Here is a 24,937-nt window from a genome sequence, read left to right as displayed (position 1 = left end):
AGTTCCATTTGGATTTTTTCAAAAATAGCTTTCATTCTTTTCCTTATCAGTTCATGATTCCCTCTACTTTTTTGAACAGATGCAGCACACTTTTAATCATTTTAATATTCTTTTCTTCCAGTGTTATCATTTGTCTCATTTCTGGGTCTGTTTCTATTGATTATTTTTTCTTTTAGTTATGTGTCATATTCTCTCACTTCTTTGCTTGCCTGCTAATTTTTTATTAAATGCCAGACATTAAAATTTTATGTTGTTGAGTGCTAGATTTTGTTGCTTGTTCTTTAATTCGTGTTAGAATCTGTATGAGCATGCAGTTAAGTTGCTTAGAATCCATCGAATCCATTCAGGGTTTGCTCCTACACTTTGATAGGGCAGATACAGAGAAGCCTTGAATCCCGATGATACTCTTCTGGGAATCCTGCTCAGTGATGCCCTGTGGATCTTTTCACCTCAGCTGGTGAGACCATGAGCTATTCCCAGCCCTCTGTAAGCCCTCAGAAGTGCTGAATCTACTATCTTCTGGTGGTTCTTTCCCTAGCCCTGGGTAGTTTCCTCTCATGCTTATGTAGATTAGTACTCAGCCAAAGACTTAAGGGCACCTCTCTGCAGATTTCTCTCTCTCTCTCTCTCTCTCAATCTCTCAATCTCTCTCTCTCTCTCTCTCTCTCTGTGTATATGTATGTGTGTGTGTGCGTGCATACGCACGCATGCATGAATGCAACATCCCCCTCTTGGGTATTCTGATTCACACACTTTAACTTTTTGGGCTCCTTGAACTCTAATCTTTTTGTCTTCAATACAGTGAGACTGCTTGGCTGCCTGAGTTCCTCTCCCTGTGCTGCAGCCTGAAAACTACCTCTAGGAAGGAAGATTGGACAATTTTCATGCCTTCAACTTGTTTGCTTCACTTTTCTCAGGAATCAGCCCTGAGCTGCCTCAGGGCTGCTGTCCCACATTTCAAAGCCACTGCTTCCTATATTTTGTCTGTTTGTTGCTTAAGGCTGGGGAAGGGACAGATTAAGTCTGACCCCTGTTACTACATTATGGTCAGAATTGCGAGCCTCTCATGCATCCTTCTGCTGTGTTCTTACGACCATCGAGCTCACCCCTGCTTTCTCATGCACACTGATGCTCAAGCCTCTCCTGTGCTTTTCCTACCTCAGCCCAGGTATCAGTCATTTCTCTGAGGTGCCCTAGTTCCTTTTTATGGAGAATGATAGTTAGAAGCCACAATCCAAGTAAATAGGCATGCTTATTGCTGATGGTATGTTGGTAAATTTTTAAAAATAGAAATTAAAGACATATGCGTTTAACCCACAGCAGGAAAATAACCAGGAACTTGAGGAGAGTTCCCCTGTTCTTTCCTCTTGAAAGAAAACATTGCAGGTTACAGAAAATTTCCTCCAACATCCTCTACTAATAGGGAAGGAAGTACAGCAGGATTACTGTTTTTTCAACATATTTTCACCGAGAACCTCCTTCCCACCAGGGTTTGTTCTAGATGCTGGGGATTACAGCAGCTATCAAAACAGACAAAAATGTCTGCCCCTGTGGTGCTTACACGAATACCTACTGCTATTATGTTGCTGCTGTTGTTGTTATTTGAGCTCACATCTTTTCATGAAAGTCAGTTTAGTTCTTTCTACATAGTTCTGCCAACTGGATGAAATGTGGCAATTTAAACCATCACTTAAATGTGTGTGTGAGTCTAGAGGTCAGTTTTCCCCCAGCCTAAATAGTTGTGCGTGTGTAAATTTAAATCTCCAATCTCAATATTCCATGTATAAATGTCCCCATGCAAAAAATCAATGACACAAACCCAGATGTGAAATATCGAATAAAAAGAGTAAATATTGGTATGAGGGGTAAACCCTTGCTTTGTGATCCAGGGGTCAAGGTTCACAGAAAACATTAATTTACTTGCCCTCTCCTGTTTGCAACTGCCAAATAGCACTCACAAGACCCATTTATTTTTTTGCAGATAAATTGAAATGTGATGTGGTTGCCAATGTTGCTTGTGATTTAGGGGAGCTGAGGTCGGCATCCCCTGCCCCTACTGTCACACATGGGGTGGGGTGGGTGTGCCCCAAAGCATCACAGCCTCATGGAGTCTCAGGGCTGGAGGGCAATGGAGAGTCCCCCTTCTTTAAACCTTAATCAGTGCCTGAACCCTGTCCATCAGGTCCCCACCAAGCTCCCAGAACCTCTCCACTGACAGGGCCCTCGAGCTATGATGCTTAGAAAGTTCTTTGTTCAACTTGACATTTGCTGATGGCTTCTTTAAGACTTACACCTTTTCTTCTAAGTTCTGTTTTCTGACAGCACATGGAATCTGTGCAGCTGTTCATTCATAGCCCTGGCCTTCAGATGGCTTCATAGTCTCCTTTCCAAGGCAGCTCCATCTGCTCTGATTGACCTGTCTTCACAGATCGTGCTGCAGCAGTCAGTGTCCTTCGACCGGGCTCTGAACTGCCTCATCCAATAGTCACATTTTATTTTATTCTATTTGAGACAGAGTCTCGCTCTGTCACCCAGGGTGGAGTGCAGTGGCACAATCTTGGCTCACAGCAAACTCCGCCTCCCAGGCTCAAGCGATTGTCATGTCTCGGCCTCCCAAGTGCTGGGATTGCAGGTGCGTGCCACCATGCCCGACTAATTTTTATGTGTTCAGTAGTGACGGGTTTCACTATGTTGGCCAGGCCACTCTCGAACTCCTTTATCTTTTGTAACTTTTTTGCAATATCTGGCCAATAATTTGTAACAAAATGTAATTTTAACATACCTTGCCCTAGAGGACTATTAGGATCTAAGTCAGCATACCTTCTCGTCTGTTCTCTCAACCTGTCTAAAAAGTGCATGGGCCCTTTGTCTTTCTCTTGCTGCACATCAAAACCTTAGTAAGACACAAAACCTTAGTAAGGTTTTGTGGTCTGGGTGCAGACTCTTTAATCCTTATGATTAGCTCACACAAATCTTCCATATTTTCCCAATGAGCTGCATTATTATTATCCCATTGTGGGTCTTGAGCAGGGAATTTGGTATCCGCTGCCAGATTATCTTGGCTGGCAGGGTGATCACGTTCTTAGGCTGCCATAGCAGCTCTGTGAATCATGTTTCACTCTTCCTTTGAGAAGAGAATACCCAGGATCGACATTAATTTGGTCCAGGAATATAGTTGGGGACCTAAAAACTGATCGATTTGCTCTGCTACTCCTTCTGGGTCATCTAGCAGAGGCTTGAGTTCTTTCTTTAGACCCTGAATTTCAGGAGCAGTTAAGGGGGGATTTATGAATCCAGTTGCACCCCCACCTTGTGGCACTTCCTTTAGAGGAAAGAGCTGAAAAGCTGGCTCTTTGGAAGTGGGAGGAAAGGGAAGATTCTGAATATCCTTTCTGCATTGTTCTATTGCTCTTTGGAGTCCTCATTTTGAAGAGAAATGACAGCGATCATGCTCTTCAGGGACTTCTGGACGCCCTCTTCCAGAATCAGAATAGTCACTTGAGGTGGAGGGGGAGGTGGGACTACTACCTGCGGAAGGGGAGGTAGGACTACCACCTGCAGAAGGGGAGGTAGGACTACCACCTGCGGAAGGGGAGGTAGGACTACCACCTGCGGAAGGGGAGGTGGGACTAGAAAAGGGGGAAGATGGTTTAAAGGGTCCTACTGGATACTTTCTGACTTTTTGCCTGCATCTATTTCTTGTTTTAAGTCCTTCAAGGGATAAAGAGAAACCTGCCCTTGCTGCCAGCATAGGGCATAATTGAGGATGCAGGAGTTTTGCTATTAACATACATTATTAAAAGTTGGCATACCTGGTCTTCATCTGAGCCATATTTCGGCCAGAAGATGGCAGGTTTCAAAATAAGCTCTTGGGTCCAAAGAAAGCAACAGTACTTAATCATTAGTTGCTTTTTCTTATGTTTGGTCCTTTTGTTCTCTTTCCAGTGTTTAAGCATGAGTCCTAAAGGACTATCAGGAAGGATTCGATCACTCTGATCTCCTTTGTTACCTGCCTTACTTCCTATTCCAGACTTACTAGAAGTATTCCCCATGTTGGATGAAAACCTTTCCCAGCAGACTCAATCCCCCAGATCCTCCAGACCAGGGATGTCTTGCCTGTCCTATCCTTAATGGCTTTTTTAAGGCTAAATTTCTTACCCCAGAAATATCTTGCCTGTATCCTTTTTCCCTGAGAGATAACCTTTCTCTCTTCCATTTTTTCTCCTGTATTGCTTTTTCCCTGGGAGATAACCCTTCCCCCTTCTATTTTCTCTCCCGAAGGTTATACACACTCCTCTCACACTCACTCTGTCTTAACTGAAACCATTCACTCATACACACATTCCCTTCGAGAACTGACCATCAAGGAAGTACTTTACTGCTCCTCTGAGGTTTTTCCTACCTTGGCTCATGCACGAGGTCTTCTGGTCCTGCGGTTTTGAAAGTCTCTCCTTCTCCCCTGCATTGCTGAGAATCCAAATGTGTTTCTTGCACCAGGTAAGTCCTGGCTCTCTCCCTGGGGGCCACTGCAATAGGGTGGCAGGGCACCTCCCCACAAGAGAGGACCAAGGACTGTCCCAGAGGGGAAACAGAGTCCCTGTATGGCCCACCAAATTGTTGGAAATGGGTGCTCGGTGTCGCAAAATCAACACTGAGACAAAGGATCTCTCAGCAAGGCTAGTTTACTTTCTGCAGAAAGGGTGCTGCTCACTAGCAGTCTTGCCGTGAGAGCACACCCGAACAAAGGAGATGGGGATGTTTATAATCTTTGTAACCTGATGCAATTGTCCTATGGCTGTGTCACATTTCCATTGGTCGGAATGGGACCTCACATTCTAAGCTTGACCCGATTGGCTAACAGCTTGAAACTTTTCTAAATAGGCAAAGGGGAAAGAGAACAAAGAAAAGAGGAAGCTAGTCATGAGAGGGTCAGGAGGGTTTCCAAATAAGGAATGGCATGCACTATGGTCTGGGTCTTGCTTAACCTTGTCCAAGAATGCCAGGTCAAGTCAGAGCAGCTGCATTGGAACATATATAGATATGCATAGAGCAAAGAAATGACAAGCTCTTTATGGTTTTAAGAAACTTTGAAGAAGAACTTCTCCATTCCTCACACAAACCTCCTGCCTCAGCCTCCCAAAGTGCTGGAATTACAGGCATGAGCCACTGCGACTGGCCACGACAGTCACGTTTTAATCCTCATGCTCACTCACCTTTTCTTTGCAGCAGGAGTAGCAGTTCACTGCTTTCTCCTTGGGTTGTAATTCAAGACCCTGCCATGGAATAAGATGAGTGACCATAGACAAGTTTCTTACCTGCCTCAGTTTCCCCAGCTGCAAATGGCAGTAATTGTGCTCATCCCAGGGGTTGATGTGAGAGTCAAATGACTATGTGGTAAACTACTTGCCCAGAGCCCAGCGCCTAGTGAGTACTCAACAAGCAGAAAAAACCGGGTTTCCTGGCAGCTGTTCCATGAGGTGCTTCGGGTATAGAGTTTCAAGTCTTCAAGCAACCTTTTCAGAAGTCAAAGCTGAGGCTCAGGGAGCGCCTCTCCCAGGGACCCCTCAGCTGTCATGCAGTAGAGGCAGGTTTGCATCCATGCTGGCTTGCCCTTGAAGGTTGTGTTTTCCCACTAGGCCACCTGGGTCCTTCCTTGGCGTCTGTGACCCACCTTCATGCTTGGGCCTCCCTCTGCCCCGCGATGGTCTCCTGCCTTTCCTTTCTCTGCTTGCTTTCTGCGTGTGGTGTCCTCAGAAGGTGAGCTTGGTCCTCCATAGCCCCATTTGTAATCATATCTTGCTCATTTGTTCCAACCACCCCTATACATTAACTATTCCCAAATCCCAATTCTTCTCTTTCTCCACAGTTCCCAACAGCTCCTGAGACCAATTCCAAACCCCCACCTGCCCTGCTCCACTGAGTATTGCCCAGGTCCCTGTCACACCTGTCCTTCCCTGCCTGCAAATCTCAATCAGGAGGAGCAAAACAGGCTGGGCCGCCTAAGCTGGATTTCTCAGGGTGGAGTTCCGAGAGGCACTTCCACCTGGGTGTACCTCTTGAAGGCAGGGACTTCTGTGTTAGGGAAGATGGATGGCACTAAAGGCCGACAGATGAGAGAGGAAGGAACCCTACAAGTCATTCATTTGTTCGTTGCACACATGTTTATTGAGTGACAGTCAGGCACAGCTGCTGCCTGAGATGTTGAGCACACAGACATGCCTGAGACATGGCCCCAGCCTCGGGAGAGAAAGGCAGGCATGTAAAAAACCACATACAGGCTAGGCACGGTGGCTCACGCCTGTAATCCCAACACTTTGGGAGGCTGAGGCGGGCAGATCACGAGGTCAGGAGATTGAGACCATCCTGGCTAACACGGTGAAACCCCATCTCTACTAAAAATACAAAAAATTAGCCGGGTGTGGTGGCGGGTGCCTATAGTCCCAGCTACTTGGGAGGCTGAGGCAGGAGAATGGCATGAACCCGGGAGGTGGAGCTTGCAGTGAGCCGAGATCGTGCTACTGCACTCCAGCCTGGGCGACAAAGCGAGACTCTGTCTTAAAAAAACAAAACAAAACAAAACAAAAACACAAACAAACCACACACAGTCAGACATCAGGGCCAGCATAGAAGAGAGAGGGTCCTCAGCCCTTTTTGTCTTTATTGTCAAGGAGGAAGAGTCACCGAGCAGGCCTTCCTTACCAGTGGGCTGAGCAGTACCCCAGAAAACTGAGCCTATGCCCTAACCTCAGAACCTGTGACCGTGAACTTATTTGAAATGAGGGTTTTATAGAGTAATTAGGAATTTCAAGATGAGATCACCCTGGATTATCCAAGTGACCCCCAAATCCAGGGACAACTGTAAAGGACACACAGAGGAGAGACACAGGTAGAAGAGGAAAAGGCCAGGTAAAGACAGCGGCAGAGATTGGGGTGATGTGCCTTAGCCAAGGGACACCTGGAGTCACCAGGGACTGTACGGGGCAAGGAAGGATTCTACTCCAGATCCTTCCAAGGGAGTGTGGCCTGATTGGCACCTTGATTTTGGACTTCTGGCCTCCTAATGGTGAGGGAATAAATTTCTGTTGCTGAAGGCCCCCAGTTGATGGTGGTTTGTTACAACAGTCTCAGGAGACTCCTACAGCTGGGTATATACCCAAAGGATGATAAATAATTCTGCTATAAAGACACGTGCACATGTATGTTTATTGCAGCACTACTTACAATAGCAAAGACTTGGAATCAACCTAAATGCCTATCAATGATAGATTGGATAAAGAAAATGTGGCACATATACACCATGGAATACTATGCAGCCATAAAAAAGAATGAGTCCATATGCTTTGCAGGGACATGGATGAAGCTGGAAACCATTATTCTCAGCAAACTAACACAGGAACAGAAAACCAAACACCGCATGTTCTTACTCATAAGTGGGAATTGAACAATGAGAACACATGGGCACTCACACACCAGGGCCTGTCAGGGGGTGGGGAGCAAGGGGAGGGAGAGCATTAGGACAAATACCTAATGCATGCAGGGCTTAAAACTTAGATGATGAGTTGATGGGTGCAGCAAACCACCAATGCACCTGTATACCTATGTAACAAACCTGCACGTTCTGCATATGTATCCCAGAACTTAAAGTATATATATATATATATAGCAACAGCTTACTGGGCTACCAGTTAAAATGGTTGAGAATTTGCAAGAATAGGACAAAGGTCAGGTAATATGTATAGAAAGAAGAAATAATCTACAAAGTAATGAATTATTATTTTGGTTTTGCTTAAAGAAAAAAAAAGCAGGGTCATAATAAGTGAAAAGTTCGCCAGCGCAGGGCTTGGCCCCTTCCTTTTCTCTCCACACGCTCAGCTGCTGAGTCTTCTCCCAACACACTCCTAGCTGGCCATCGGCAGCTGATGTCTGCATGGGTGGACACAATCCTCCTGGAGGGCTGGACCTGACACTAGCCCTGGTCCCGCTGCCAGGCAGCTCCACGGGTCATAGCTCTCGGCTGGCTGGAAAGCAGCACCTTGTTTCCCTGTGCACAGCCCCACTGGGGATTTCCAGGAAAGAAAAGGAGGCTTGGCCAAGAGGGGCTGTGGTACCACTGCACCCCTGGTCCTTGGAGTGTCTAACAGCACCGAGTCCCATGGGGTCCCCCAACATAGGAGCCCACTTGGCTGCAGAGAGGAAGGTGTGGCCCACTAGATCCTGTTGTTCTGCCCCTTCCTGGTCTGGGATGCGGCAAGAACAATAGTTTGTCAATACAGCAAATATTGACTAAGCAGAGTCCCTGCTGGGCTCTGTTCAGGCTTTCCTGCCTCTGGCTGCCCCTGTGTGTTCAAATGTTCTTTTTTGTCTTTGTCTTTTGCGTTAAGTGCAAAAGCCCCAATATTTTAAACTATCACTTGTGCAGAACCTTGCGCTTCTTTATGTGGGGGGTTTGGGAAGAGTGCCTTAGCTCTCTGCTCATCCTCACAGGGATTTTCTCCTTCTGATGCCCTTTGCCTATATCCTCTGTATATGCAGTGCCTGCAGCCAGCCCCTCTCCTGCAGTAGAGACCATCCAAGCTTGCGGCTACAACAGCAAAATAAATGCCAGGGCAGGTGGACAGAAATCAATGCATAATTGCTCCTCTTCTCTTCTAGATGAATAATTTTTGTTGGTTTTTTACATACTTTGCTTTGATCATGAAAGAAGAAAGGTTGACTCCCTCTCCTGGCATGGTGGTATCTGAGCTGCCCTTGTGGTCTGTCCATATTTGTGTCTTCCACCCAACCGCCGGATGCCTCAAGGTGCCCAGGGCTGCTGCAGTCATCACGTCTAGAAAGCTTCCTGAGCCCCTCAGCTATGAGGGGTTTCTCTGTCCTGCAGACTCCTGAGACACTGTGCCTGCCCCTCCCGACAGCATGTGGCACTTTCTAGCTTGAATTTGTCATAAGTCAGGGGCCTGTTTGATTTTCTAGGCTAGGTATCGGCTGACTTTTTCTGTAAAGGGCCAGATGGTAAGATTTTTAGGCTTTATGGTTCATATGCAGAGGACCTGCTACGTAATGGGTGGGGCTCCATGCGCAATGAAATTACAGGGTTTGCGTAGTGGGTGGTTGGCAAAGCTTTGTTGAATGGATGGCTGCAAGAGCGCATGGATGGGGGATGCTTGCCCTCAAGGAACTCACAGATGTACGGAGCAGGGGTTGGCAAACTCCCATCCATAGGCCATTTGTATGAATTCTTACTTATTTCAAGATAGTGACAGCAGATGGTCAAGATAGTGACAGCAGATGTTCAAGATGGTGACACAGACCCCATACAACTATACAACTGTACAGGTCACATACCCACGAAGCGAACCTGTATTGGCCTCTTGGCAATGACTCCACTCTAATGCAAAAGCAGACAGACAATATGGAATGAATGAGCATGGCCATGTTTCAATAAAGTCTGATTTATACAAATGGCCTATGGATGGGAGTTTGCCATCCCCTGCTCTATACATCTGTGAGTTCCTTGAAGGCAGGCATCCCCCATCCATGTGCTCCTGCAGCCATCCATCCAACAAAGCTTTGCCGACCACCTACTATGCACCAGGCATGTGCTAACCATAAGGCCACAGGGAGAAGAGAAAGCTATTCTCTGTCCTCATAGACGCCTCAGGCTGGAGGGGACACAGAAGCATCATAGTGCAACACGATATCAGAGACCCAAGGCAGGAGCCTGGAGGGAACTGAGGTGGAATTCATCCTCACATTCCCACAGACCCTCATAGGCAGGAGTGGAACAGATACGCACTCAGTGGCGAAGTGAATCATGAATGAAAGCGGGTTTTGCTGATGTAGACTCTCGATCTTGGAGGGTTTGTTGGAACCACAGAGAAGAGCTGGGTCCAGTCCCACCTGCGCCTTCTATGGCTTTGGGAAAATGACTTCATTTCCCCAAGTCTCAGCTTCCTTGTCAGGAAAACGGGAGCAAGCAGGTCCCTTGGCAGGGTCTGATGAGAAGATCAAGTGAAACCGCCCCGTGAAGGCCCCAAACCCGGAGCCTGACCCCTGGATCTACATCACCGAGCTCTTGTCTTTCCCTGGCTCACACCCATCGAGCTGGAGACACAAGATCACAAGATGTCGTTAAAGGGACCTGTGCAAATTTGTACCACGTGAAAGAGCATCCATAAGGGAACCGGGCACGCCGTGTGCCTGGTCCTCACCCAGGGAGGCTTTCACTCATTCCTTCTGTGGTGGTTCAGTTTCTGTTCATTTATTCCTCCTTCCTCCCTTTCTCCCTTCTCTCTCTCCCTCCTTCTCTTTCTCCCTCCATCCACCCTTCTACTTTCCCTCTTTCCCTCCACTTCTTTCCCTCCTCCTCCTATGTGTTCTGTTTTTTCTTTTACAAAGAACCTGCATCATCTTCCCAATTTGAAGACAAAAAAGGCAGCTCTCCTTCACACCCAGATGAACAGATGAGGTTAAATCAGCGCAAGGACCCTGGAGCTGTTCTTCCTTCTTCCAGATGGGCAGAAGCCACAGTCCGGGGGCCTCGTCTCAGTAAACGGCACCACTGGCCACTCAGACACTGTTGTGGGCTCCTCCCTTGCCCACCCCTTCACAGTGGGTTCTGCGGATTCTACCCTTCAGAGACCCCCCCCCTCTCCCGCCTCCCTCTGCTCACTCTCCCATCTTTTTTGCTCCCTTCCCACTAATCTCCTCTCCCCACCCAGGGAGTCCTCTCCAGACAGAATCACACCAGCTTCTTCAGCTACTTGAAAAGGCTGCCCTGGGCCTTTGAGGTAGATTCCCAGCTTCTCCCAGGGGCACCTGCCTGCACCCGCCTCTCCCCGACGACCATCACTGGGGTCTCTTTTCTGGTCCTCAAACTTGCCAGGCCCTTCCCAGCCCTGGGCCTGCAGTCCGTCCACAATGAGACTGCTTCTCTCCTGACAGAGGAGATGATCAGACCTAATCTGGGGTCATGCTGCCCCAGCCTTCCCAGGACCCACTACCTCATCCTGCATTTCCGTCCTTCACAGCACAGACCACAGTTGGAAATGGTTCTAACAGCCCAGGTCCTTTCCTGCCTCCTCCTTCCTCCCTGGACTGCAAGCTTCATGGGCAGGGGCCACGTCTGTCCTCTCCCTGAGTGTCTGGCACCCTGCAGAGGGCCTATCACAGAGTAGCCACAGTGAATATGTCCAACGAAGCAGTGAGTAAATGATGGACCGTGAGGAGGGGGGGTTGGGTGCCAGTGAGGGGACCGGTGCCACACAGATTCCCTGGGCCCCGGGAGTTCAAGGTGCTTCTGCAGGCAGGAAGGACACTCCCTGATGCCAGAGGAGGCTTGCTGGCCAGTGTGGATGTACGTCGGAAGCATCCAAGGAAATTGATGCCTGAGAGTCGGCTGGCGGCCTGGCCAGTGCTCAGGTGTGCCCTGGTGCCCGGTCAACACCTGTAGTGACAGCGGCAGTGACAGCCACTGCGCCTCAGAGCACTGAAGGGGTCTTTGGAGACTATCCTGCTCATCTCTGTACCCTCATCCCCCTGGCTTGGGCACGAGGTCCCTCCCTCCCACCAGTCTCTTGGTCCCCACTCTGGCCCTCAACGGCTCACCTTGAATGTGTGCAATCTAGTAAGGTTGAACTCACAGAAGTAAAGAGTGGAACCAGGGCAACCAGAGGCAAGGGGATGGGAAAGAGGGAAGGAGAATTGCCAATCAAAGGATACAAAGTTTCAGATAGGCAGGAGGCACGGGGCCTTTCCACTTATAGCACACCAGAGGGACTGCAGTCAATAGTATGCTATTACCCATTTCCAAATAGCAGAGAATTTCAAATGTTTCAAATGTCTCACCCCAAACAATGAAAGGAGGATGAGGTGATAGATATGCTAATTAGCTTGATTTGATGATACCATGTTGTATACATATATGAAAACATCACATTGAGGCCTGGATCAGTGGCTCACACCTGTCATTCCAGCACTTGGGGAGACCAAGGTGGGAGGATCACTCAAGACCATGAATTCGACACCAGCCTGGGCAACATGGTGAAACTCCATCTCTACGAAAAACGCAAAAATTAGCTGGGTATGGTGGCACATGCCTGTAATCCCAGCTACTAAGGAAGCTGAGGCACGAGAATCACTTGAACCCAGGAGGCAGAGGTTGCAGTGAGCTGAGATTGTGCCACTGCACTCCAGCCTGGATGACAGAGTGAGGCTCTGTCTCAAGCCAGAAACAAAACAAAACGAAACCACCACATCACATTGAACCTCGTGAATGCATAAAACCACAGTTTGTCAATTAAAACGGGGGGTGTTTCTCTTCCTTCTGCCTCTGTGGGATCCTTCCAGCTGGTGGAGGGGTGGCCATCGACTGGATATTGGCCTCCAGAGATGTCCATGTTCCCATCCTCAGAACCTGTGACTGTGTGGCCTTACGTGGCAAAAGTGCTTTGTATTAATAGATATGATGACATTAAGGACTTTGAGATGGGGAGATTATTCGGGTGGGTCCTAATGTCACCACAAGAGCCCTTGTAACACAAGAGGCAGAGGAGAGCTGATGACAGAGAGGACATGGCAGAGAGCTGGGTAATGCAGCCACCAGCCCAGCGTCGCTGACACCAGCAGAATCTGGAAGCGGCAGGGACGGAGCCTGTGAAGGGACCAGTCCTGCGGATGACTTGGTTTTACCCCCTAAGATTCACTGTGGACTTCTGACCTCCAGGGCTGAAAAGAATGAATTTCTATTGTTTTCAGCCTCTAAGTGTGTGTTCATTTGTTACAGCAGCCCCAGGAAACCAACATAGCAGCTCCGAGCTACAGTCTGGGCTCAAGGAGTCCGGTTTATGGGCTGAGAAGGGAGAACCCGATACCTTTGCCCAGTCCTCATCCCCGGCAGCCACATCAGCAGCCCTGGCTGGCTCTCGGCTCCAGATGCCAATTTCCCACAGCCGGTGACTTCCAAAGCAATAAGCCTGGGCTGCAGCCCCCAAGGCGTCTTCGGTCATCTCAGGCCAAGTGTTTTTGGAGACTGAGCAACTTTCGCTTCCCTGAGAGGGCCAGGGCCTCCCACAAGCAGGACTTGGTTTTTGCTTTTGTTTCCCTCTGCCCTGAGCAAAGGTACCCTCCCCACCCCTCCTGGTGGCACCACCTAGGAGCCATTTGCCTCCCTCCAAAAAGCTGTGCCAGCCTGCCTTCCCCAGAGGGGAGTGCCCTCTTGACCCACTCCTCCAGTGGCCCTAATCTAATGAGTGGAGTTTTTATAAGAAGAGGGAAATTTGGACACAGGACACAGACACACAGAGGAGAGAGAAGGCCCAGTGAAGACCGAGGAAGAGGCTGGAGTGATGCAGCTCAAGCTGAGGAACGCCTGGAGCCCGGGAAGCTCGAAGAGGCAGGAAGGGCCCTGCCCCAGGGCCTCTAGAGGGAGTGTGGCCTGCTCACACTCTCATTCCAGACTTCTCACCTCCAGAACCGTGGGAGAACACATTTCTGCTGTCTTAAGCCACCAGTTTGTGGAAATTTGTTACAGTCGTTGCAGGAAGCGGGACACACACTGTCCCTCCAGAGCACCTGGGCGCCCTCAGAGGCCTGTGCCGTGGCCGTGACCTTCATGGCTTTGACCCTGATCAGGCTACAGTGACTGGTGGGTTGAAAGTTTGCTGGGAGAAAGGATTGAGGTCATCTGGGGGTGGAGACTCCTCCCTGCCAGCAGCCAGCACCAGTCAATTCAGCTGGCAGCAGCACTTGGCCCCAGGAAACACCCCCTACAAATGGCTCTTGAAGCAAATGAGCCGAGTGGGCTTTTGAGGGCTGTGAATGAGTCAGCTCTCCCCTGGGCAGGGCAACTGCACAGGCCCAGCTCATGGGGGAGGCCTCATCTTTGCGCAGAGCAGGCCTGTGTGCAGAGGGAAGAGGGTGCCCCTTTGCCTGCAAAGGAGGGAAAGCACCACAGGACAACCCCACCACCAGGCATGGAAGGCTCTGCTCGTGCCTCATTTGCTCACCCATCACCCCAGTGAAGCTTGTGCCATTCATGCATCGAGCACCCACAGGGGCTGCCAGGGACCCAGCAGAGCCCTGCCTTCAAGAAACTTAGGATCTGGGCTGGACGCAGTGGCTCATGCCTGTAATCTCAGCACTTTCGGAGGCCGAGGTGGGTGGATCACCTGAGGTCAGGAGTTCGAGAGCAGCCTGGCCAACATGGTGAAATCCCATCTCTACTAAAAATACAAAAATTAGCCAGGCGTGATGGTGGGCGCCTGTCTTCCCAGCTACTTGGAGGGCTGAGGCAGGAGAATCACTTGAACCCAGGAGGCAGAGGTTGCAGTGAGTTGAGGTCGTACCATTGCACTCTAGCCCGGGCAACAAAGCAAGATTTCATCTCAAAAAGCAAAACACCAGAAACTTAGGATCTGGCTTGACAGAGAGGCGGTCCCACCTCCACGATCTGTCAGAGCACGGAGCAGAGGACCCAAGTCTGCCCCTGCTATGCTCGCGCCCTTCAAGACCCAGACAGGGAGGAAGGAGGCCCTATTAGGAGAAGGAGGGGAAGCTTCAGCTCTGGGGTGTGGTGGGGGTTGGGGAGCCTGAAGACTCAGGAGCTGGATTTTGGGGATTCAGACATGATGGAGCTGAGGGAGTGTCTGTCCAGGAGAGACCATCAATTGAGTCATTTTAAAGTCTCAGTGCTGGCCTGTCAGGGATCAGGCAGTAGAACTGGGGGTGGGGGAGGGCAGAAGGAGCCAGTCAGGAGGGGAGTGAAGTCAGCATGTTGTCCCTGGGGTGGCAGAGTGTGGACTTCAGAATTGGACCTCTGGGCTTGACATCCGGACATGGACTGAGGTGCACAGGCACCTGCCCTTACCCTTAGCTCAGCATCAGAGAAAGGCGCCTGGTGGAGCGGGGAGGGGACTGAACCCAGCGGTCCCCCTTGAAATAAACATTAAATCCCCAGGCACTGCCTGCTAATTATCAACAGTTAGTAGGGCCTAAATGTGACAGACTCATCTTTAAAGACACTTCGGGTCACACCTGACAGATTTTAAAATGTATTCATCTCCCTTTGGCAACCAGAATTGGCGCTTATTCGGATCTATTTCTTCTGAGGGAAATCAGTAGTACCTTAACTTTTATTGAAATCGATTTTCTAAGATCACAAAAAGAAAATGCTTCTTAAAAAACCCACGGGTGTACTTTAATTATTTTGAATACCAACAAAAAACCACAGAGACCCAAAACCCAGATGACTTAACACAAATATTGAAATGGCTTTCTACAGACGAAGATCTTTATGATGTGCCTAAAGCTGTGCTCTAAGGATGCGCCTCCGTGGTGGCAGCTTAACCACGTCCAGTGCAGGCAAGCACCACCTCACCTTTCCCCACTAGCAAGAAGGGCGTGTTCCACCCCTAGGAAGCTCACTGTCATCCCTCACCTCCCTGGAATCACCCCTGCCCTGGCACACGTGGCCACAACAGTGCCTCCTGCCCAGACCTGACTGTCACTATTTCCAGGTGACAGAAATGGCAACTGCTGTTGATTCAATTACAGACTGCGGACCTACTGTGTGCGAGATCCTGTTCCACATGCTGGGGGAAAACAGAGTCCCCACCTCCATGTGGCTTAAGTGTTTGCAGTTTGATGAATGAAAAGCCATCCAACCCAGATGGGCCCTGGCTTGCGGTAGTTCCGCTGAGGATTATTCAACTTTACAAATGTGTCAAAGCACGAAAGCGAGACACCTTCAGTAGAAACTGTACCTCGGGTACCCACACAAACATTCTGTTTTTCACTTCCAGTATTCAATAAGTTACATGAGCTAGTCAGCATTTTATTATAATATAGGCTTTGTGTGAGATGATTCTGCCCGGCTGTAGGCTAATGTAAGCATTTGGAGCACGGTAAGGTGGGCTGGGCTAAGCTAGGATGTTTGGTGGGTTAGGCATACTCAATGCATTTTTGACTCAACAATATTTTCAACTTACAATGAGTTTATTGAGCTGTAACCCCATCATAAGTTAAAAAGAATCTACATATGGTTTGTCTGGGAGTGATGAGTACCGTGAAGAGAGACGAAGCAGGCAAAGTGCATAGAAAGTGTCCAGTGGAGTGTGTTGCTGTCATCCTGAGGAGGACTTAGGACACACCTGACTGAGGAGGTCACATTTGAGCAGAGAGACTTGAATGAGGGGAGGCCATGAGTTTCATGGATACAGGGGAAAAGTGTCCCAGGAAGAGGCAGCAGCAAGTGCAAAGGCCCTGGGGTGGAAACACACCTGGTGTTTGAGGACCTGGTGTTAAGGTGGCCAGTGTGGGTGGTGGTGAGTGAAAGGCAAACGCCCTGGGATGTGAGGTCAGCACAGTGGCAGTGCCAGACCAGGCAGGGCCTTTGGAGAGTCGAGAGCTGGGGAGGTGCAGGATCCGCAGCTCAGAAAGGCTCAGCACTTGGTAAGAAGCCTGGAACAGAACTCTGATTCAAGGTCTGTGTGCTCATTGCAACCTCCTGACTACAGTGTGTTTCATCAATTTGAGAAAGTGACCCTGGTCTCTTGAATGATGGCAGCAAGGGTGATATCAGTCGCCACTACCACCACCACCACCATCATCATTACTGTTGTCATCATCATTATTGTCATTTTTATCATCATCATTGTCATCACCACCACCATCACTATCATCATCATCATTGTCACCAGCATCACCACCACCACCATCTTCACCATCATCACCATTGTCATCACCACCACCACCATCATCATTATTACTGTTGTCATCATCATTATTGTTGTCATTTTTATCATCATCATTGTCATCACCACCACCACCATCACCGTCACCACCACCACCACCACCACCACCATCATCAATGCCATCATTACCACTACCACCATCATTATGATCACTGTCATCACCACCTCCATCATCATCATCATTGTCATCACCACCACCATCATTACTGTCATCATCACCATCAGCACCATCACCACCACCATCATCATCATCACCACCACCACCATCATCACCATCATCATCATCACTGTCATCACCACTACCACCAGCACCATCGTCATCATCACCACCACCACCGTCATCATCATCATCATCATCACCACCACCACATCATCATCACCACCACCACCATCATCACCATCATCATCACCATCACCACCACCATCATCATCATCATCATCACCACCACTACCACCATCGTCACCATCATCATCATCACTGTCATCACCACTACCACCAGCACCATCATCATCGTCACCACCACCACCATCATCATCATCATCACCATCATCACCACCACCATCATCATCATCACCATCACCACCACCATCATCATCATCACCACCACCATCATCATCACCATCATCATCATCACTGTCAACACCACTACCACCAGCACCATCATCATCGTCACCACCACCACCATCATCATCATCATCACCATCACCACCACCATCATCATCACCATCACCACCACCATCATCATCGTCACCACCACCACCATCATTATTGTCATCATCACAATCACCACCACCACCATCATCAACACCATCATCACCACCATCATTATCATCATCATCACTGTCATCACTACCTCCATCATCATCATCATCATTGTCATCACCATCACCACTATCATTACTGTCATCATCACAATCACCACCACCATCATCGCCATCATTGTCATCACCTCCATCACCACCATCACCATCATCATCATCATCTTCACTGTCATCACCATTACCATCAGCACCATCGTCATCATTGTCACCACCACCACCATCATTATTCTCATCATCACAATCACCACCACCACCATCATTATCATGATCATGATTGCAGCAGACACCAGTTCTTCCTTCATAACAGGCATAGTGCTAAGGTGTTGGATGCTACTGTCTAACCCTCACTACCACCTTATAAGTTGTACATTCTGTCACATGCCCTTGTTTGGATGAGAAGTCTGAGGACCAGAGAGGTGAAGTAACTTGCCCAACGTCATCCAGCTGGCAAGGAGAAGAGCTGGGCATGGAATTCAGATCTGAGGCCAAAGCTGTGTTCTGAGGCACAGCTCCAGCCCATGTGGTTTCCTGAACAGCCATGGAAGGCTTTTATTTTCATTTTCTTGTCCATCTTTTTTCCTCCAACTGAGACCCTCAGATGCTCAGATGTCACTGGAGCCCAGCATTTCAGCACCAAGTCCTTGCAGCTGTCTGTCCCACCCCACAACTCCCTGGCTCAACAGAGCTTCCCTGCTGCCCTTGGAGTGTGCCTGTGTGGTCCCTGTCTCACAAGCTCATAGTCAATAGGAGAAGCAGACAAGTCTATCTATGTGCCCCCCTGCTAGGCCCAGGTCCTCCTTTCAGGGGAGGCAGCTCGGGCGGTGGGATCCGCCTATGTCTGTCCAGGCTGTCAGCGGGGCTTTGTGCCTGGTGACCATCCAGACAGAGGCAGCTCTGCAAGCTGCTGAGAGTGGTGGTGGTGGCGAAGAACTTGGGAGCCCGAGTCAAAATCAAGGTCTCTGAGCCCGAGTTTCCCCATCTGTGAACTGGGGAGAGGGCCACAAACTCCAGCTTCCCAGGGGTATTGCAAGGATGAAAGCAGACGGTGCCCAGGGAGCCCTTGGCACAGTGCCAAGCCCATCACTGGCATAAGAAACCTTAGCTGGGACCACTCTTTGGGCCACTGTCTGAAGCTCCGTTGAGAAGAGCTATTCTCTGCAGGGGAAGCAGGTCTAGCGGGCGAATGTCTTCTGCCCGGCACTCACTCCCTCCCTTGTGCCGTTCTTGTCCTGGTTTTCCTTAAGGAAACACCACTGCCCCCTTTCAGCCCATGTGGTTTATGGGCTATGTGTCCCCCCGCTCCAGATGGTCTCAGGGATCTGCTAGTGGGTACACACAGCTAAGCATCCCCCAGGCCATTGCGACTCATTTAGGGAGGGTCAAAGACCTCAGGCAGGACCGTCAGAGATAGCCTTGGGCTCCCTGCTGGAGTGCCCAGGGGCAAGCTCTCTGTCCACTGGGGCTGCCCAAGGTGAAAGCCAGGAGCTGTGCCTGCCATCTGGACACTAAGAGAGTAGTCCTGAGGGTGGACCCAACCCAAAGAACAGCAGAGCCAAGAGGAGGAGAGAGATGGAGATTTGGAAACATTAGACCCCCGGATTCAGCTATGTCTGAAGCTGGTCTTGGGTTTTCTGTCTTTTACAACCCAAGCAATCCTGGATAGTATTGGTAGGTTGCAGTGAACCACCTGCATTTTCTCGACAAGACTTTGGTAAACTTGAAATCCCTGAAATGTAAAGCACAGAGCAACTACAGGCCAGTCTTCTTCCCCATCCTCTTCTCACCACTCTTTTCTTTCTTTGATTCTTGGCCCACACATGGCTGGGATAAAGACACACACTCCTATGCAGATGCTGGGAAGGAAAGGTACATTAACATGGCCTTTATTGTTTAACCATCTACTGATGGTTTAAATATTTGGCATTTCTTAAAAGAAACAGATCTTCCCCAATGGGCAGCCTTGCAGTGTGAGCATGAGGCTACAACTCCTAAACCAGGACAGAACAAAAGCCAACTTCCCTAAGCCCTGATGTTGGCAGCGACTAGACCATCTCAGTACTGGGCCGAATCTCACCCCTAGAAGTAAAGAAAGTGCCCCTACTCCCACCCAAAATGCTCCATGGTCATCTACATTTGGGGAAGGCTATATTCTGCACTGTTGGACATTCATTGTGTTGGCATCTAAGAAGCCTCTGACAAGACGTGCCATGAACAAATCCACTAGACATGGTTTAGCCTGGGATCTCCCAAATGGCGAGCTCTGGAGGGCAGAGACTGAGTCTGACTTATACATGGCCATGCTCCTGCTAAATGGAGTCAATGCGGAAAGGTGCAGGCACTAACACATGCCGGTCCAACAATGATTAAGCCTCAGAGCCATGGCATGCATTTCCCCTCATCTCCCAGCGCACGAGTTTCCCACTGTGCAGCGGGAGATCAACAAAGCTTAGTGGCTTAAAACAGCACATGATTATTATCTTAAATTCCAGAAGTCCGGCATGGATCTCACTGGGCTAAAGCTAAGGTGTCAGCAGGGCTGTTCCTTCTGGAGGTTCCAGGGAGAGCTTGTTTCCTTGCCTTCTCCAGCTTCTAGAGGCCACCTGCAGTCCTTGCCTTGTGGCCCCTGCCTCCATCTCAAGCTGGCAGTGCATCCCTCTGACCTCTGTTTCTGTCCTCATGTCTTCCCCGACTCTGCTTCCCCTGCCTCCTCTTACTTATAAGCTCCCTGTGATGATGTTGGGCCCACCAGATAGTCTGGGGCTATCTCCCTGCCTCAAGGTCAGCTGATTAGCAGCCTTGATTCCATCTACAGCCTTAACTCCTCCTTGAAGTGTAATAAAAGAGATTCACGGGTTCTGGGGATCAGGACACAGACATCTTTGGGGGTCGTGATTCTGCTTGCCACACCCACTAAGTGAACACACTCAAATTTGGGGGAAAGCAAGCTAGGTGAGGCTGGCTCTATGGGGCCATCAGTGGCTTCACTCTTGCATTCTTTTTTTTTTTTGAGATGGAGTCTCACTCTGTTGCCAAGGCTGGAGTACAGTGGCATGATCTCGGCTCACTGCAACCTCCATCTCCCGTCTCCCAGGCTTGAGCAATTCATCTGCCTCAGCCTCCCAAGTAGCTGGGACTAGAGGCACCTGCCACCACGTCCGGCTAATTTTTGTATTTTTGGTAGAGACGGGGTTTCACCATGTTGGCCAGGTTGGTCTTGAACTCCTGACCTCACGTGATCCACTTGCCTCGGCCTCCCAAAGTGCTGGGATGACAGGCGTGAGCCACCACACCCGGCTTCCATTCAGTAAGTCCTTATTGAGCACCTACTGTGTGCCAGAACCTTGATGTGTGCTGAGGTCCAGAGTCGTGAAGAGGCCATACCAAGACCCTACCTTCATGGGGTCTTTTGGTTAAAATAGAGGCAAAAGCAGACAGATGAATCCAAGTTGAATAAGTCCCAGAGGGTGAGTTGGGCCTTCCATGGGCCTGTCTCGGAAAGCATTTTTTCCTCTGGGATTTCTGCCCAACGTGAGATGTCAAAGCGGCAGGAAGTGGAGCAAGGAGGGAAGGGGCCCAACCCCAGGGAGAAGCAGGACTCTCTCAGTTTGGGTCTGATCTGAGCACACAGCAGCACACCTTATGCTTGGTTTCGTCTGCTCCTTTTTTTGGACATTCTGGTCTTTGGGGGAACAAGTTCTTGTGTGACAGCAGCTCAGTTTTAAAATACTCTGCGCACTCTTTGGGATTCAGTTCGCACGCTCCTGCCTGTGAATGTCACAGGCAGTGGGATGTGAAGGGGCTCCTGGCAGGGCAGTGGACACAGAGGGATGAGTTTACAGGGCTCTGGCTTCAGTCTCTGGAGCCTTCCTGGGCAAGAGCCTGGCTCCCGAGGCCTTGCCCAGCCTTGGGCTGATGTTTAACAAATGTCACCGCTGGAATTTCTCAGACGATCGACATGGGAAAAACCGAGGAAGAGAGGGACCAGGAAGTGGATGCATTAAAAATAATGAGGCCGCTTTAAATGGACCAGGTTCCGGGGGACAATGGGAACCACGTCCTCAGTTTATTTAAAAATACACTTTATTTTCCATTCTGTTTCTGTTTAATTTCTTCTGATAGAGCTAAAAAAAAAAAAGAAACAACAACAACAAAAAGCACTCTCCTTATTCTAAAAACTGAAGTTGGTATATAGCTTTACAAAGAAAAAGAAGGGGTGGGAGTGAAAAGTATAGGTCACGACAGCCCCCTGCAACCACCACGCTCCCTCGCATGCACGAGGCCTAACCAACGTTCGTCAAGTCAGTGAGCACGTTGGCATTTGGAGTTTAGGATGAAACAGAGCTTTAGTCTTAAGCGGGATGACAATGTTTGGCATATTAGGAAGTTCTATCATTTTTCTTTCTCTTTTTGCTGATCAATATTTTTTCTCCACTAGATAATTCCATGGGGACAGGAGGATTATGGGCATGCGTTTGGGAGCGTAGAAGATGGGGGTTCGAATCCCTCCTCCCCCTTGGCAGCTGAGTGAGTTTGGATATGAGTCATTCTTCCTTGCAGAAGAAATATGAATTCCCACAGCGAGTCCACGTGCTCACTTATGGCCTGTCTGTAAAGGACGCACCCAGCCCGACGCCCGCAGCGAAGCACCTCTCGGTAAGTAGCAGTTACGACCGCGAACGATGACTACGAATGAGAGGCTGAATGGTCACTGGGCCTGTTTTTCTAAAAAGGTTAGCTCTTTGTTTGTTTTGAATAGTCCAGCCTTTTGATGCTTGGAGAATGGGAATGCGTTTCGGGCTTGTTTCTGGGTTTAGTTCTCTGCTGAGACACCTCTGGGAGGCTTCCTCTAAGTCTGCCCCCTGGGTCTAAACTGGCACCCACACCCAGCACTCTGTCCCCCTCTGGGGAACCCATGTCATCCCAGGCTGTCGAGATGGACTCTGTGGGATTGGGTTAGGCTGAAGCTTCACACCGCAGCAGCGAAGAGGGGTGTGGAGTGTGTTCTTGGGGTTGGTAGGGAGGTGGGGACAAATACCCGTCTGGTGACCCTTGGCCGGACCCACTGAGCTGGGAAGGAAGAGGGCCTTTCCAGCTGTCTGAGGGAGGTGCTGCTTTTCCTCCTCCTGCCAAGGCTGGAGAGAGGCTCAAGGAGCCCCAGGGGCTGGGGGAGGGTGGACCAGTCTGACTCTTTCTTCAAAGGCATCTGGCAAGAGGGTGGCATAAGTGTCCTGTGCAGTGGAGTGCGGCTGTCCTGAGTGAGAACTGACCCCACCACCAGCAGAGATGATGAGGGTGGGTGGTGAGGATGGAAGAAGGGTGTGGGGGATTTCCTGTGGATAGGAAGTGGGCTGTTGGGCAGGAACTGGCAGGAGTGAGGGGTCCCAAGCTTTCGCTATCAGACACATGTGCTCATGGGGTCCAATTTGGATGTTTTCATTACCCCATGGACTAAACAATCCACAAGAGTACCCTCAAATGAGTCAGCTTTAAACATCTGCCCCAGCTGGGGGGATAGAAGCCCACCAGATCACCTAGCGCCCGCCCACCAAGCCTGACCTCCCTGCCCTGCTGGCCTCTCCCCAACCTTGGAGGGTCCGGGGGAAGCCTAGAGATTGGGGAGGGGAGAGGGAAGAGAAGCAGAAGCAGAGAGACCCAGAGCCAGGGGCCCTCGGCCCCCTTCCCACTCCGAGGCCTCAGCCTGGGGCTGGCTGGGCCGGTGAAGCCAGGAAGATGACGGTTTTCAGTGAAGACGTGCGTGGGACTGGACATTTCAGTGATCCACATGAGACCATGTTTTTGTGATTAAAAGTGGCTGGGAAAGCTTTCATTATGAGACGACCAGGAAGTCATGAGGCCTGCCCTAGAATTACCCAAGGGGCTGAGAAGAGCCAGCCCCAGACAGTGGTGGGTGGGTAAACTGGCCCTTGGAAAGAAAACACATGAAAGCTGACTTAGAGTGTTTGCCAATTGCGGAGGTGTAAACCTTCCCATCATGGCCCATTTTAAGCTCCCAGGGTGATGTCACTGAATGCATACTTGGGAAGATACAATTGGCTCGGGTGAGCTGAGTCCTGGTGAGCCCGTGTGAATTGGGTGAGCCGGCTCCTGCACACCCAGAGGGCAGGTCTGAAGGGGCACTGGGGGAAAACCTGGACCATTTCCTGCGGCACCCTCTCGAGTCCTGTTCCTTAATGTAACGGTTTCCTTGCTTTCTTTCCCTTTAGAACATCCCTTTCCTCCTCACATTTTATGTTTGCATGCGTGTGTGCATGTGTGTGTGCGTGCGTGTGTGTGCATGTGCATGGCATGTGTGTAGCGTGGGTTGTGAGTCCATAGACGGGGGAGTGAATGTGTGTGTGTGTGTGTGTGGGGGGGTTCTTCTTTCCCTCCCCTGCATCCCAAGGTGCAGGAGAACAGCACACTATTTTGATCACTGCTAAACCCCTTCCACAGAGGCCTGCTTAGGTCTGGCTCAGAACAGGCTCTCAACATTTGTTGAACGAATGAATAAATGAATGAATGGGGCACCTCCTCCAAGAAGCCCTCCCTGGCACCCAGGTGAGGACAGGCCCCCCTCCGCCACATGGCTGCACAATGCCATGGACTTTGCGTACTTATTGCCGCAGGATTTTCTCCCTTCCATGGACTCTAACTGTGTGTGAACGGCTGGGAGGAAGCTCCTCTGCAGCTGAGACTGAGGCTGCCTATTTTTGGCCATGTCCCCGGTACTGAGCTCCATGCCCAGCACTTAGCAGGTCCTCAGTAAATATTCCCACCAGATGAACAGATGCATAATGAATGTGTGGTCTCTTGCTGGCACAGACTCAGGGGATGGGCTTCAGCCTGAGGCCCAGGTTTGTTCTTCAGTCTTTCCGTTGCCTTGGAGTATCTGTCCGATGGGCTACATCCTGCTGCAGCAACAGTCATGCCCTGGTCCTCAGAACTTCCAAAAACACTTTATTTTCTGCTTGTGCTTCCAATGTCCAAGCCAGGTTGGGAGGGGGTTCTGCTCAGTGTAGTCTGGAAGGGTCTGGGCAGGTGGTGCAGCTACGGTCCCAAACACTGTCAGGCACAGAGAGTGCAGTGGAGTCTAGAAGCAGCGGAGAACTGCTCCAGCTCAGAAGCGAGCCATGTCACCTCCACTCACGGCTTGAGAGCTAGGACCAGCTCACAGCCCACCTGCCCACAAAGGGCCAGGAAGCACCATCCATCCATGATGCTGGAAGGGTCTTGAAATTCTTTATTTTTTTTTCATAGAGACAAGGTCTCATTCTGTTGCCCAAGCTGGAGTGCAGTGGTGTGATCACAGCTCACTGCAGCCTCGACCTCCTGGACTCAAGAGATCCTTCCACCTCAGCCTCCTGAGT

The 24,937-nt window shown here is 49.9% G+C and overlaps 1 protein-coding gene across 4 annotated transcripts in view, besides 2 other annotated features; it reads right to left on the bottom strand.

Moving 5' to 3' along the window:
* ANO1 (anoctamin 1) overlaps positions 1–24,937 on the bottom strand; it is a 223,534-nt gene that overhangs the window by 146,348 nt on the left and 52,249 nt on the right. The gene's annotated exons all lie outside the window — the stretch shown is intronic.
* Positions 7,505–8,044: an enhancer, noted in NCBI's record as "H3K27ac-H3K4me1 hESC enhancer chr11:69881245-69881784 (GRCh37/hg19 assembly coordinates)". NCBI's record gives its function as "activates a minimal SCP1, AML or CMV promoter by ChIP-STARR-seq in naive H9 embryonic stem cells {active_cell/tissue: H9 hESC(naive)}" and the evidence as "EXISTENCE:reporter gene assay evidence [ECO:0000049][PMID:30033119]".
* Positions 17,274–17,672: a silencer, noted in NCBI's record as "fragment chr11:69871617-69872015 (GRCh37/hg19 assembly coordinates)". NCBI's record gives its function as "represses an EF-1alpha promoter that drives an FKBP-Casp9 reporter gene in an ReSE screen in HepG2 liver carcinoma cells {active_cell/tissue: HepG2}" and the evidence as "EXISTENCE:reporter gene assay evidence [ECO:0000049][PMID:32094911]".

This window comes from Homo sapiens, chromosome 11 (assembly GCF_000001405.40).
Source record: "Homo sapiens chromosome 11, GRCh38.p14 Primary Assembly".
Classification (NCBI taxonomy): domain Eukaryota; kingdom Metazoa; phylum Chordata; class Mammalia; order Primates; family Hominidae; genus Homo; species Homo sapiens.
The sequence above is the reverse complement of the archived record's forward strand: the minus strand, read 5'-3'. Positions and strand labels throughout refer to the sequence as shown.